Here is a 13,612-nt window from a genome sequence, read left to right as displayed (position 1 = left end):
TCTGCCCGGCCGCCCCTACTGGGAAGTGAGGAGCCCCTCTGCCCGGCCACCACCCCGTCTGGGAGGTGTACCCAACAGCTCATTAAGAACGGGCCATGATGACGATGGCGGTTTTGTGGAATAGAAAAGGGGGAAAGGTGGGGAAAAGATTGAGAAATTGGATGGTTGCTGTGTCTGTGTAGAAAGAAGTAGACATGGCAGACTTTTCATTTTGTTCTGTACTAAGAAGAATTCTGCCTTGGGATCCTGTTGATCTATGACCTTACCCCCAACCCTGTGCTCTCTGAAACATGTGCTGTGTCAACTCAGGGTTAAATGGATTAAGGGCGGTGCAAGATGTGCTTTGTTAAACAGATGCTTGAAGGCAGCATGCTCATCAAGAGTCATCACCACTCCCTAATCTCAAGTACCCAGGGACACAAACACTGCGGAAGGCCGCAGGGTCCTCTGCCTAGGAAAACCAGAGACCTTTGTTCACTTGTTTATCTGCTGACCTTCCCTCCACTATTGTCCTATGACCCTGCCAAATCCCCCTCTGCGAGAAACACCCAAGAATGATCAATAAAAAAAAATAATAATAATAAATAAAATAAAAATACAAACAATTAGCCGGGCATGGTGGCACACACCTGTAATCCCAGCTACCCAGGAGGCTGAGACAGAAGAATCACTTGAACCAGGAGGCAGAGGTTTCAGTGAGCCAAGATCATGCCACTGCACTCCAGCCTGGGTGACACAGTGAGACGTTGTCTCAAAACAAAAAAAAAAAAAAGAAAAAAAAAGTTTTCCTTTGCATTTACATTTGGGCTGTTCGGCACAAGAGGCCTAATTTAGGCCTGTCTTGGCTTTTGATATATGCCTTCCTCATTAAGCTTAAGTATTTCTAGCTTCTGATTTAAAGTGAGAGATGTATGACTCTTCCTCTCACTGGAACACTGAGAGGCCACTGCAGGGTAGTTACCTACCCTAATTTCAATATTGTTGTGTCTCAAGGAATAGGGAGGCCAGAGGAAAGGGAGAGAGAAAGGGGAACAGCCAGTCAGTGAAGCAGTCAGAACACAGGCAACATTTGTTAATTTTAACCATCTTATATACGGTCAAAACAATTACAATAATAATAACAGAAATCACAGATCACAGATTGCCATAATAGATAATAAAAAAAAGTCTGAAATAGGGCAAGAATTACCAAAATGTGACCCAGAGACACAACATGAGCACATGCTAAAAAAAAAAAAAAAAGAAAGAAAGAAAAACAGTTGTGAGGCTAGGTGAGGTGGCTCGTGCCTACAGTCCCAGAGCTCTGGGGGACCAAGGTGGGATGGGAAGATCACTTGATGCCAGGAGTTCAAGACCAACCTGGGCAACATAGTGAGACCAAGTTTCCACCAAAAAAAAAAAATTTTTTTTTTTTTTCGAGACAGTGTTTCACTCTGAAACCCAGACTGCAATGCAGTGGCATGATCTCGGCTCACTGCAACCTTAGCCTCCCGGGTTCAAGCAATTTTCCTGCCTCAGCCTCCCGAGTAGCTGGGACTACAAGTGTGCACCACCACGCCTGGCTAATTTTTATATTTTTAGTAGAGACAGGGTTTCGCCATGTTGGCCAGGCTGGTCTCAAACTAATGACCTCAGGTGATCCACCTGCCTCGGCTTCCCAAAGTGCTGGGATTACAGGCATGAGCCATCCGCCTGGCCCAAAAAGAAAATTTTTTTTTTTGAGATGGAGTTTTGCTCTTGTTGCCCAGGCTGGATTGCAATGGCGTGAACTCGGCTCACCGCAACCTCTGCCTCCTGGGTTCAAGCAATTCTCCTGCCACAGCCTCCCGAGCAGCTGGGATTACAGGCATGTACCACCTCACCCAGCTAATTTTGTATTTTTAGTAGAGACAGGGTTTCTCCATGTTGGTCAGGCTGGTCTCAAACTCCCGACCTCAGTTGATCCACCCGCCTTGGCATCCCCAAGTGCTGGGATTACAGACATGAGCCACCGCACCTGGCCAAAAAAAATTTTTTAATTAGCCAGGCATAGCCAGGCATGGCTGTGGTCCCAGCTACTCAGGGGGCTGAGGCAGGAGGATCCCCTGAGTCGAAGAGTTCAAGGTTACAATGAGCTAAGATCATGCCACTGCACTCCAGCCTGGGTGACAACATGAGACCCCTATCTCTATTTATAAAAAAAAAAAGAAAGAAAAAAAAAAGGCCGGATGCAGTGGCTCATGCCTGTAATCCCAGCACTTCAAGAAGCTGAGGCAGGTGGATCACGAGGTCAAGAGATCGTGACCATCCTGGCCAACATGGTGAAACCCCACCTCTACTAAAAATACAAAAATTAGCTGGGTATGGTGGTGCACACCTGTAGTCCCAGCTACTCAGGAGGCTGAGGCAGAAGAGTCGCTTGAACCCAGGAGGCCAAGGTTGCAGTGAGCTGAGATCACGCCACTGCACTCCAGCCTGGTGACAGAGGGAGACTCTGTCTCAAAAAAAAAAAAAAAAATGTTGTCTACAGATTTGCTCAATGCCGGGTTTCCACAAACTTTTAATTGTTAAAAAAAGAAAAAAGAAAAAAGAAAAAAAAGCACAATATCTGCAAAGTACATTAAAGCAAGGGACAATAAAACGAGGTGTGCCTGTAATCAATGATTACGTGGCTAGAAAGCCACGTAAGAGGGTTCAGGCATAGTAGTTCAACCCTACAATCCCAGCACTTCGGGAGGCAGAGGTTGCAGTAATCTGGGGTCGTGCCACTGCACTCCAGCCTGGGCAACAGAGCAAGACTCCATCTCAAAAACAAACAAACAGAAAGAGTAATTCACTAGATAATTTTTAAAAAAGAAAGTCATGTTAAGAGGAAGACTGAAGATTTCACCACTAGAGGTCACTGCTGACCTTAACTAAAAGGACTGGGATAGAATTAAGGCTTTGAGTTCACTACAGACCAACCTTGGAGATAAAGAGACAAAAAGCAAAGTAAACTGTGAACAATTTTTGGTCTGAATGGGGTTATGTGAACTAGTGTGTGTGAGACATAGCTTTGCCCTGGAACAAACACACCTGCCACCCACCTGGGGATGACAAATGACAAGGTAGAAACAAACAACTAGGACTTGTATCAAGTTCTAAAGGATAATTTCCCTAATATAAAGAAATTAAATCTATAATTTTAAAATTATTCATAAAGAAAAGCCAGACCCTAGAAAAATTCACTGCTGTAATTTTACAAGCAATTAAGGAATAAATAGCACCAATCTTACACAAGCACTCATGGAGAATAAAGAGAAAACACTAAACATGTTTTCTGAAACAGGCATAAAATTGATATAAACCTAACAAAGGCCGGGGGCAGTGGCTCATACCTGTAATCCCGATGTTTTGGGAGGCCAAGACAGGAGGATCACTTGAGCCCAGGAGTTCAAGACCAGCCTGGGCAACATAGCAAAACACCATCTCTAAAAAAAATACAAAAAAGTAACCAGGCATTATGGTACATGCCTGTAGTCCCAGCTACTCAGGAGGCTGAGATCAGAAGATTGCTTGAGCCCAGGAGTTCAAGGGAGAGGTGAGTTATGATCATCACACCACTGCGCTCCAGCCTGGGTGACAGAGCAAGACCTTGTCTCAAAAAAAAAAAAAAAAAACAAAAGACTGGGCCGGGCATGTTGGCTCACGCCTGTAATCCCAACACTTTGGGAGGCCAAGGCAGGCAGATCACCTGAGGTCAGAAGTTTGAGACCAGCCTGACAAACATGATGAAACCCCATCTCTACTATAAATACAAAAATTAGCCGGGTGTGGTGGCTAACGCCTATAATCCTAGCTACTCAGGAGGCTAAGGCAGGGGAATCGCTTGAACTGGGGAGGTGGAGGTTGCAGTGAGCCGAGATCACGCCATTGCACTCCAGCCTGGGCGATGAGAGCGAAACTCTGTCTCAAAAAAAAAAAAAATTAAGATATTAGAAGAGGCCGGGTGTGATAGCTCACGCCTGTTATCCCAGCACTTTGGGAGACCAAGGTGGTGTTAGATCACTTGAGGCCAGGAGTTCAAGACCAGCCAGGCCAATATGGTGAAACCCTGTCTCTCTAAAAATACAAAAATTAGCCAGTCCTGGTGGTGCCTGCCTGTAATCCCAGATACTTGGGAGGCAGAGGCACAAGAATCGCTTGAACTCGGGAGGCAAAGGTTGCAGTAAGCTGAGATAGGGCCACTACACTCCAGACTAGGCATTAGAGTGAGACTCTTTCTCAAAAAAAAAAAAAGACTTTTAAGAAAGGAAAATAACAGCCAGGCATGGTGGCTCATACCTGTAGTCTCAACACTTTGGGAGGCTGAGGCGGGTGGCATCTGAGGTCAGGAGTTCAAGACCAGCCTGGTCAAGATGGTGAAACCCCATATCTACTAAAAATACAAAAAATTAGCTGGGCATGGTGGCAGACACCTGTAATCTCAGCTACTCAGGAGGCTGAGGTATGAGAATCGCTTGAACCCGGGAGGCAGAGGTTGCCATGAACTGAGATCATGCCACTGCACTCCAGCCTGGGCGACAACTTGGTCTCAAAAAAAAAAAAAAAAAAAAGAAAGAAAGAAAACAACAGACTCTTTCAGGAACAAAGACACAAAAATATCTAACAATTTGTCATGGAATATATTTTAAAAGGATAAAGCAACAATATGACTTTGTTCCTGGAAAATAGGCTGATTTAACATTTGAAAATCAAAACATTAATAAAATTAACTCAATCCATAGGTTAATATCAATCAATCCACTGAAAAAGAATAAAACAATATAATCATCTCAATAATAATTAAATTCATTCTTCTGGTCTATTAGCTAAAAAAATAATAATAATTCAACGGCCGGGCACGGTGGCTCATGCCTATAATCCCAGTACTTTGGGAGGCCAAGGCGGGCAGATCATGAGGTCAGGAGATCGAGACCATCCTGGCTGACACGGTGAAACCCTGTCTCTAACTAAAAATACAAAAAATTAGCTGGGCGTGGTGGCAGGCGCCTGTAGTCCCAGCTACTCGGGAGGCTGAGGCAGGAGAATGGCGTGAACCCAGGAGACAGAGCTTGCAGTGAGCTGAGATTGAGCCACTGCACTCCAGCCTGGACGACAGAGCGAGACTCCATCTCAGAAAATAATAATAATAATAATAATAATAATAATAATAATAATAATAATAAACTCACAGCCTGAGCAACACGGCAAAACCCTGTCTGTACAAAAAATAAACAAATTAGCCAGGCATTGTGCTGTGCACCTGCAGTTCCAGCTACCTGGGAGACTGAAGTCAGAGTTACCTGCAGTGAGCTGTGATCGCAACACTGCACTCCAGACTGCGTGACAGAGTGAGACCTGACTTAAAAATTTTTTTTTAAAAGTTCAATACCCACTGGATGATAAAAAGTCTCAGCAAACCAAGGGCCAGGTGCAGTGGCTCACGCCTGTAATCCCAGCATTTGGGGAGTCCAAGGTGGGTGGATCACCTGAGGTCAGGAGTTCGAGACCAGCCTGGCCAACATGGCAAAACCCTGTCTCTACTAAAAGTACAAAAACTAGCCAGGTGTGGTAGCATACACCTGTAGTCCCGGCTACTTGGGAGGCTGAGGCAGGAGGATCACTTGAACCTGGGAGGCGGAGGATGAAGTGAGCCAAGACCATGCCACTGCACTCTAGCCTGGGAGACAAAGTGAGACTACACCTAAAAAAAGAAAGAAAGAAAGAAAGAAAAAGACTGGATACCTTGGGAACAGCAATAATGAGAGGCAGGAAGAGGAAGAAGACTTCACGGACAAGACAGAAAAGAAATAATTACAGAGGAAGGACTAGATCAGAAACCAACTGAGAAGACATTTTAGGGAGATTAAACATGAGCATCAACTGGACAGAATGCTCAATTAAGGCAAGCACTAAAGTATCCATGACATTTGGATACCCCTACCAGGCAGATCCAGCAAGTCATGTTGTTCAAAATAAGAAAGGGAAATGTGGAGATACTTGCCAGAAAATACAGCTTTAACCTTGCTGTTGTACAATCTACACATACATTTAAGGAGTGTATCTGAAGGTGACATAATCCATTCTTTCATGCAGCTATCCCAGCTTCTATGCCTGGATCAAGCAGGACCATCAGAAAGAGGTCTATGGGACCAAGGTGCCTCCATCCCTAGAAATGTACTGACTGAGTACTCGACCCACACGAAGTACTCAATTACAAGCAGCAGACTGCACTGATTTCTGGTACTCACTGAAAGACTGAAGACTCTCTACTAAGTCATCTACAGGAAGACCGGAAAAACAATGTTTTTTAGACTTCAATGCCAAGAACTGTTTTTTGTTTTTTGTTTTTTGTTTTTAAGGGGCTTTCCAGGGTGAAAGGAAAATAAATCTTGGGGCACCAAAATCACTAAGCTAAAGAGAAAAGTCAAGCTGGGAACTGCTAAGGGCAAACCTGCATCTCACTCTATTTAAAGTTACCCCTCTGCTCACTAAGATAAATGCAAAGCTGATTGCCTCCTTTGAAGAGGCTAATTAGCAACTCAAAAGAATGCAACTATTTGTCTCTTCTGTACCTAAGACCCCGGAAGCCACCTGCCCTTCAAGTTGTCCCACCTTTGATTCCAGTTGTCCTGCCTTTCCGGACTGAACCAATGTTCATCTTACATATATTGATGTCTCATGTCTCCCTAAAATGTACGAAACCAAAGTGTGCTCTGCCCACATTGGCGCATGTCATCAGCACCTCCTGAGGCTGTCATGGGCGCGTGTCCTCAACTTTGGCAAAATAAACTTTCTAAATTAACTGAGGCCTATCTCAGATATTTTGGGTTCACACTGGCAAAAACTGGAAAGCCTGCCAGACAAATTCTAAAAGAGCTGTAACTCTTTTTTTTTGTTTTGTTTTGTTTTTGTTGTTGTTGTTTTTTTATTGAGACGGAGTCTCGCTCTGTTACCCAGGCTGGAGTGCAGTGGCCTGATCTCAGCTCACTGCAAGCTCCGCCTCCCGGGTTCAGGCCAGTCGCCTGCCTCAGCCTCCCGAGTAGCTGGGACTACAGGCGCCCGCCACCACACCCAGCTAATTTTTTGTATTTTTAGTAGAGACGGGGTTTCACCATGTTAGCCAAGATGGTCTCGATCTCCTGACCTCGTGATCCGCCCGCCTCGGCCTCCCAAAGTGCTGGGATTACAGGCATGAGCCACCCTGCCCGGCAAAGAGCTGTAACTCTTAATGTCTCATGAGGAATTTTTTTTTTTTTTTAATTGAGGCGGAGTCTCCCTCTGTTGCCCAGGCTGGAGTGCAGTGGTGTGATCTCGGCTCACTGCAACCTCCAACTCGCGCGTTCAAGCGATCTCATGAGGAATTCTTTTCTTTTTCTTTTTTTTTTTTTTTTTTCCCCAAGACAGAGTCTTGCTTTGTCGCCCAGGCTGGAGTGCAGTGATGCAATCTCGGCTCACTGCAACCTCCACCTCCAGGGTTTAGGCGATTCTCCTGCCTCAGCCTCTGGAGTAGCTGGGATTACAGGCATGCGCCACCATGCCCAGCTATCTTTTTATTTTTAGTAGAGACGGGGTTTCACTATGTTGGCCAGGCTGGTCTCGAACTCCTGACCTTGTGATCCTCCCCCCTCGGCCTCCCAAAGTGACGGGATTACAGGCGTTAGCCACCGCGCTAGGGTTTTTGTTTTGTTGTTTTGTTTTGTTTTCTGGAGATGGAGTCTCACGCTGTCACCCAGGCTGGAGTGCAGTGGCTCTATCTCGGCTCACTACAACCTCCGCCTTCCGGGCTCAAGGGATTCTCCTGCCTCAGCCTCTGGAGTAGCTAATGAATGGGATGACCTGGACATTCACCCCTCTGGAGTTCAGTGGTTTTCATCTTTCATGTCAGGCAGAAATTGGTAATCCAGGAAACTGTTTCCTGAACTACTTTCTGAGTAAGCATGGTGGAAGCACCCACATCTCTCAAGGCCACCTGCGGTAATTGGCATAGTATGGGAAGCTCTCGGTATCTGGAATGAGTAAATAATTCAGAAAAATTCAAAGGCCGTTGGGGTGTTTAAGACATAATTTTCTTGGCCAGGAGCAGTGGCTCACGCCTGTAATCCCAACACTTTGGGAGGCAGAGGCGCGCGGATCACCTGAGGTCAGGAGTTCAAGACCAGCCTGGCCAACATGGTGAAAATCTATCTTCACTAAAAATACAAAAATTAACCGGGCATGGTGTCGCGCACCTGTAATCTCAGCTACTCTGGAGGCTGAGGCAGGAGAATCGCTTGAACCCGGGAGGCAGAGGCTACAGTGAGCCGAGATCCCACCACTGCACGCCAGCCTGGGCGACAGAGCGACACTCCATCTCAAAAGAAAAAGAAAAATAATTTTCTTAGAGGTAGTAATATTTCTTTCCCTCCCAACCAGGTTCTCTCAACCCTGAAAATGGAGAGACATTTCCTGGGCAAGCCTAACCCTAGCCTTAGGCCCAGCTCACCTCTCTGACAGCTGGAGCAAAACTCCTGTTGAGTCAGCTGGGGTGGCTTGTGGAGCACAGGCATTACATATTGCCTCTCCGTGCAAATATGGGCCGTGCTCTTCCTCAGCCTCGTCTTCCGCTGCTGTGAAACTCTGGTGAGAAGTCCCCATTCAGGTGGGCCACGCTTCCTCTACCTTACAAGTGCTGCTCTGTTTTTAGAAACTCGGATCTGGCCCTAGGGGCCAAAATCATTTTATTTGGGGCTTACATCAGGGCCCCAAGTCTTGTAACTCCCTGTGCCCCAGAATCTCGGGTTGGTTCTTCAAAAACCCAACCAAGACGACTGAGGACACACTGGCTGGACGGTTCAGACGAGGCCCGCAGCCCTCCATTATGAAGTGCGGGCCCACGAACCCTGACTACAAGTGCCCCAGGATAAAACAGAGCCTGCATTATACTTGGCAACGATGTCTGGGGCTCAGTACTGTAACCATGCAACGCTGGACTTCCGCCGAATGGGCTTTTAGTGGGCAAGCAGAGCGGTGAACCCCGAGGTCCAGCTCCCGGACTGTGCTAGAGCGGGCGGTGCCCGCCTCCTTCCTGGAGCGCGAAGCGTCCCCGTAGTCCCCACTAGGGCGCGCAGTGGCGTCCGCACAAGAGCAGCAAACGCCGCTAAGGCCGGCTGCCAGCCTGGCGCGCTGTCTCCTACGCGCCAAAGGGCCAAGGCCGCGGCCCCGCCCTCCGGCGGGCTCGGCGTGCTCTTTGACCCCAGAGGCGACCCCACCGCGCCCAGCCCTGCCACTCTCGGAAATGGGCCGCGCATGCGCGGCAGTGCCCGTCGCTGCCACAAGCGCGCCGCGCCACGGACCTAGAGGGGCCGTTTCCCGTCAGGTTCCGCGACACAACCTCGCCTCGCCCCGCCCTGAGCTGCGTCGTCCAGCCGGGAAGGGGCGCGTCAGGCGTTGACCCGGACGTGGACAAAAGACCGCAAAGGACGCCTGCACGGCAGGCATGGAAAGGCGAGCGAACCCACGGCGCAGGGATTCTCCCGGAAAGCAAAGCAGCTGAGTGATGTGGTGGTTGGTAGTCACGATGCCAATGGGATGGTGCTCGCTTCTCAAAATTTGAGACTTACTTGCAATACACAGAATTTGGGGGTGAATAAAAGTGCAAACTAGGCCGTGCGCCGTGGCTCACGCCTGTAAACCCAGCACTTTGGGAGGCCGAGGCGGGCGGATCAGGAGGTCAGGAGATCGAGACCATCCTGGCTAACACGGTGAAACCCCGTCTCTACTAAAAAATACAAAAAAAATTGGCCGGGCGTGGTGGCGGGCGCCTATAGTTCCAGCTACTCGGGAGGCTGAGGCAGGAGAAGGCCTTGAACCCGGGAGGCGGAGCTTGCAGTGAGCCGAGATGGACCCACTGCACTCCGGACGGGGCAACAGAGCGAGACTGTCTCCAAAAAAAAAAAAAAAAGTGCAAACTAAAAGAAAACGACTATCACACACAGCCTCGTATCCCTTAAAGGACTTTTTTTTTTTTTTTTTTTTGAGACAAGGTCTGGCTCTGTTGCCCAGGCTGGAGTGTAGTGGCGCAGTCACGGCTCACTGCACAGCAGTGATAGGAGCAATGTGTACGTGAAGACTTGGCATGATTCACTCCCTGCATAATCAAGTACTAATGTGCCCATTGGAATAGGTGTAGAGAGAATGCATTCTTGACATGGCTCTACGAATAAGATAGATTTTGTTTTAATTCTGCTTTATCTTTTCTCAGCTTTTCAGACTAGTCTCTACCAATTTAACAGCATAAGTACATCAAAATCAATTTTAATTAAAAATCCAAAGTTTATTCCAGAGCTATTGATTTTCCAGTATGTTTTACAGCACAAGCATTCATGTTACACTAAATTTTTGCATTACTTGGTTTAAAAACTATTCTTTCAACAACATTGAATATAAAATAGCACAAATCAGCAGATCATTCACAAGTTTCAAAGCACATACACTGCATTTTTAGGAGACTGACAAGTGATGTAGTTAAATTTTGTGAGCTAGTGAAAGGAGACCAGTATAGTCATAATAAACACTGTCCTCAGCTTACTGTTCAAAAGTATTTTGAAAATCTGTGAGTCGAGGGCCAGGTGCAGTGGCTCACGCCTGTAATCCTACCACTTTGGGAGGCTAAGGCGGGAGGATTGCCTGAGCTCAGGAGTTGAGACCAGCCTGGGCAACATGGTGAAACCCTATCTCTACTAAAACACAAAAATGAGCCGGGCGTGGCAGCCTGCACCTGTATTCCCAGCTACTCCGGAGGCTGAGGCAGAAGAATTGCTTCAACCCAGGAGGTGGAAGTTGCAATGAGCTGAGATCATGCCACTGCACTCTACACTTCAGCCTGGGCGACAGAGCGAGACTCCGTACCTTAAAAAAAAGAAAAGATAAAAGAAAATCTGAGTCCTAACAATTTTTTAAAATATTAAAAGAATTGCATTATTTCAAACCTTGTGCATAACATACAACTTTCAAATATTTATTCATATTATTTTAAATTTATATAAATTCCCATAAAACATGAGAGCATTATACTCATCAGGCAGCCCTTGCTTGGTACAGTTCTGATATGCACGAATTTCAGTCACCATGATTTAATAACACCAGTCCCCCAACGACACAACTCAAATTTCAGGTACACAGTATATTAACTGTGAGTTTTCGCATAAAGTGCAGGCTGCTAGCTCTTCAGTCTACACATCATCACATTAATAACAAATGCATGTCATGATCAGTAACCAATCACATCACTTCTGTCTGTTGGTGACTGCTCACTGTAAGTTTGTTATTCGGCTCACTCAGAAACAGTAACATCTGTAGTTGTGTGGGCTTCATCTTCCAGTGATATATACTGTTGTGGTTACTGAGAACTGCAGAACTCTCCCCCCATAACTCCATCTGAAACTCTGCACTGAGAGACAAATTGGCATGGCTTCTAGTAGCATAGCCTGTGTTCCCAGGATGACCCCTGTCCCCACCATTAAAATGCCTGCCTGAGAAATCTCAGTGCTGCCAGGATAACTTACTATTCTTGCCAATATCTGACCATAGGCTCCTGACCGCCCTCTCTTAAGAGCATTTACTAAAAAGGACTTACAATTATGAATCTGTCCTCTGTCCCTTTGAGATGTTTATGTGATACACATGTTGTGTATGTGTATGCAAGTGTGTATCTCCTACAGCTAAGAAGTGTCTTTCTCAAGGAACATTGCTTTCTCAAGGAGCCATTGCTTTGAAATGTAGTGATTGGGAAAGATAAGGCCTCTGTCTCCCAGTCTCTGTGGGAGGATGGAATCTAACTTTGACCATTGCCAGCAGGCAGACACCGCTGGCCTCATCACATTTACACTGGTCCCTTGTAATTTTTCACATCCCCAACTCTACTGAGCCCCAACTCATACCCCTCCATACTCCCTCATTCCCCCTTTAAAATCACCAGTCGACTACATTCAGTGGAGAGTATTTGGGGAAAAAAAGGTATAAAATATCCAACCACCAAAAAAAGAAAAAAAGCCCGATCATCACTGCACAAATCAGAATGGAGCTCAGCTCTTTCCCCTACTGTCAGTGGTTACTGAATAAAATGTTAATGTCTGCTGTATTTATCTGTGATATTACCCAAAGATACGAGATAGATTCCCCACCCAAAACCTGGTTTTTCAAAACTGGTGACAGCCCCACATGCACAGAGAGAATATGTAAAGGCTTATGACTCACATGAGGCTTTCTGGGGAGAACAGGGATGAATCCCAAATGGGTTCAAAAATAGCTTAAGGCTGGGTGCAATGGCTCATGCCTGTAACCCCAGCATTTTGGGAGGCCAAGCCAAGAGAGGATCACTTGAGCTCAGGAGTTTTGAGACCAGCCTGGGCAACACAGTGGCACTCCTCATCTCTACAAAAAAAAAATTAAAAAATTAGCCAGGCGTGGTGGCACACCCCCGTGGTTCCAGCTACTGGCAGCTGTGATCAGGGCCCTGCACGCCAGCCTGGGTGACACAAGACCCTGTCTCCAGAAAAAGAAGAAAAAAAAATGGCTTGAGAGCAGGGAAGAGAGACTGGCTTTGGGTGTTATTAAGGTTAAGGAGTGGGGGGGAAATGAAGGCTCCAATGCACATGCTGGGGCCTGCATGGCTTGAACTTGCCTTTAGAGCCAAAAGAGGAAGCACCTGGGCTTTTGAATCAGCCATCCAGGTGTGGGACAGAAGGGGAGGGAAGAGGTGGGGCTTGAGAGCTGACAGTAGTCAAAGATAAAATATGGAGTCAGACTCTCTAGTTCATAAAAACTACATTTACATAGAATGTAAAAAAATGGAAAATTAAAAGAGAATTGACCAACAAAGATGAAATTGCAGCAAAGAAAAAGTGATAACACAGGAAGTGAAACTCGAATTGAGCATTTCCTGCAGTGCCACCCAGTCCTTGTTCTCATCATGCAGGTTTCCTGCTCCTCGCAGAGCCAGCAAAGTTTACTTTGCGGTGTAGGAACTCTCTTCTAGTTGTCCTCTTCTTTTCCACCCTACCATCAACTGGCAGGCTTTGCAAGTGCTCCCATAATAATGGTGCAAACTGGCCAGGTGCGGTGGCTCACGCCTGTAATCCCAGCACTTTGCGAGGCTGAGGTAGGAGGATCACCTGAAGTCGGGAGTTCGAGACTAGCCTGACCAACATGGAGAAACCCCGTCTCTACTAAAAATACAAAATTAGCCAGGCGTGGTGGCCCATGCCTGTAATCCCAGCTACTCAGGAGGCTGAGGCAGGAGAACTGCTTGAACCCGGGAGGTGGAGGCTGCAGTGAGCCGAGATCACGCCATTGCACTCCAGCCTGGGCAACAAGAGCAAAACTCCATCTCAAAAGAAAAATAATAATAATAATAATGGTGCAAACTTTGGCCAGGCACAGTGGCTCAAGTCTATAATCCCAGCACTTTGGGAGGCCAAGGCGGGTGGATCACCTGAGATCAGGACTTCGAGACCAGCCTGACCAACATGGTGAAACCCCGTCTCTACTAAAAATACAAAATTAGCCAGGCCTGGTGGCGCACACCTGTAATCCCAGCTACTCAGGAGGCTGAGGCAGGAGAATCACTTGG

At 46.7% G+C, this 13,612-nt stretch overlaps 1 protein-coding gene and 1 pseudogene across 14 annotated transcripts in view, besides 8 other annotated features; both read right to left on the bottom strand.

The window, feature by feature from the left end:
- Positions 1–13,612, bottom strand: part of ZNF487 (zinc finger protein 487) — an 87,047-nt gene that overhangs the window by 58,940 nt on the left and 14,495 nt on the right. The window contains exon 2 of one of the 14 annotated variants that reach the window (NM_001355446.3): positions 4,303–4,367. The exons of 12 other annotated variants lie outside the window; for them this stretch is intronic. The gene's annotated coding sequence lies outside the window, so the exon portion shown is untranslated. Of the gene's footprint in view, positions 1–4,302; positions 4,368–8,485; positions 10,891–13,612 lie in introns of all 14 variants that reach the window. One more of the 14 variants, XM_047425629.1, reaches the window with a different exon arrangement.
- Positions 55–718: an enhancer, noted in NCBI's record as "NANOG-H3K27ac hESC enhancer chr10:43959685-43960348 (GRCh37/hg19 assembly coordinates)". NCBI's record gives its function as "activates a minimal SCP1, AML or CMV promoter by ChIP-STARR-seq in naive and primed H9 embryonic stem cells {active_cell/tissue: H9 hESC(naive and primed)}" and the evidence as "EXISTENCE:reporter gene assay evidence [ECO:0000049][PMID:30033119]".
- Positions 6,457–7,012: an enhancer, noted in NCBI's record as "OCT4-NANOG-H3K4me1 hESC enhancer chr10:43953391-43953946 (GRCh37/hg19 assembly coordinates)". NCBI's record gives its function as "activates a minimal SCP1, AML or CMV promoter by ChIP-STARR-seq in naive H9 embryonic stem cells {active_cell/tissue: H9 hESC(naive)}" and the evidence as "EXISTENCE:reporter gene assay evidence [ECO:0000049][PMID:30033119]".
- Positions 6,826–6,890, bottom strand: RNU7-193P (RNA, U7 small nuclear 193 pseudogene; annotated as a pseudogene).
- Positions 8,386–9,274: an enhancer, noted in NCBI's record as "H3K27ac-H3K4me1 hESC enhancer chr10:43951129-43952017 (GRCh37/hg19 assembly coordinates)". NCBI's record gives its function as "activates a minimal SCP1, AML or CMV promoter by ChIP-STARR-seq in naive H9 embryonic stem cells {active_cell/tissue: H9 hESC(naive)}" and the evidence as "EXISTENCE:reporter gene assay evidence [ECO:0000049][PMID:30033119]".
- Positions 8,386–10,163: a biological region, named in NCBI's record as "H3K27ac-H3K4me1 hESC enhancers GRCh37_chr10:43950240-43951128 and GRCh37_chr10:43951129-43952017".
- Positions 8,898–8,947: an enhancer, noted in NCBI's record as "active region_3302". NCBI's record gives its function as "activates an Ori minimal core promoter by ATAC-STARR-seq in GM12878 lymphoblastoid cells {active_cell/tissue: GM12878}" and the evidence as "EXISTENCE:reporter gene assay evidence [ECO:0000049][PMID:35858748]".
- Positions 9,068–9,387: a silencer, noted in NCBI's record as "silent region_2333". NCBI's record gives its function as "represses an Ori minimal core promoter by ATAC-STARR-seq in GM12878 lymphoblastoid cells {active_cell/tissue: GM12878}" and the evidence as "EXISTENCE:reporter gene assay evidence [ECO:0000049][PMID:35858748]".
- Positions 9,275–10,163: an enhancer, noted in NCBI's record as "H3K27ac-H3K4me1 hESC enhancer chr10:43950240-43951128 (GRCh37/hg19 assembly coordinates)". NCBI's record gives its function as "activates a minimal SCP1, AML or CMV promoter by ChIP-STARR-seq in naive H9 embryonic stem cells {active_cell/tissue: H9 hESC(naive)}" and the evidence as "EXISTENCE:reporter gene assay evidence [ECO:0000049][PMID:30033119]".
- Positions 9,548–9,627: an enhancer, noted in NCBI's record as "active region_3301". NCBI's record gives its function as "activates an Ori minimal core promoter by ATAC-STARR-seq in GM12878 lymphoblastoid cells {active_cell/tissue: GM12878}" and the evidence as "EXISTENCE:reporter gene assay evidence [ECO:0000049][PMID:35858748]".

This window comes from Homo sapiens, chromosome 10, assembly GCF_000001405.40.
Source record: "Homo sapiens chromosome 10, GRCh38.p14 Primary Assembly".
Taxonomy (NCBI): domain Eukaryota; kingdom Metazoa; phylum Chordata; class Mammalia; order Primates; family Hominidae; genus Homo; species Homo sapiens.
The sequence above is the reverse complement of the archived record's forward strand: the minus strand, read 5'-3'. Positions and strand labels throughout refer to the sequence as shown.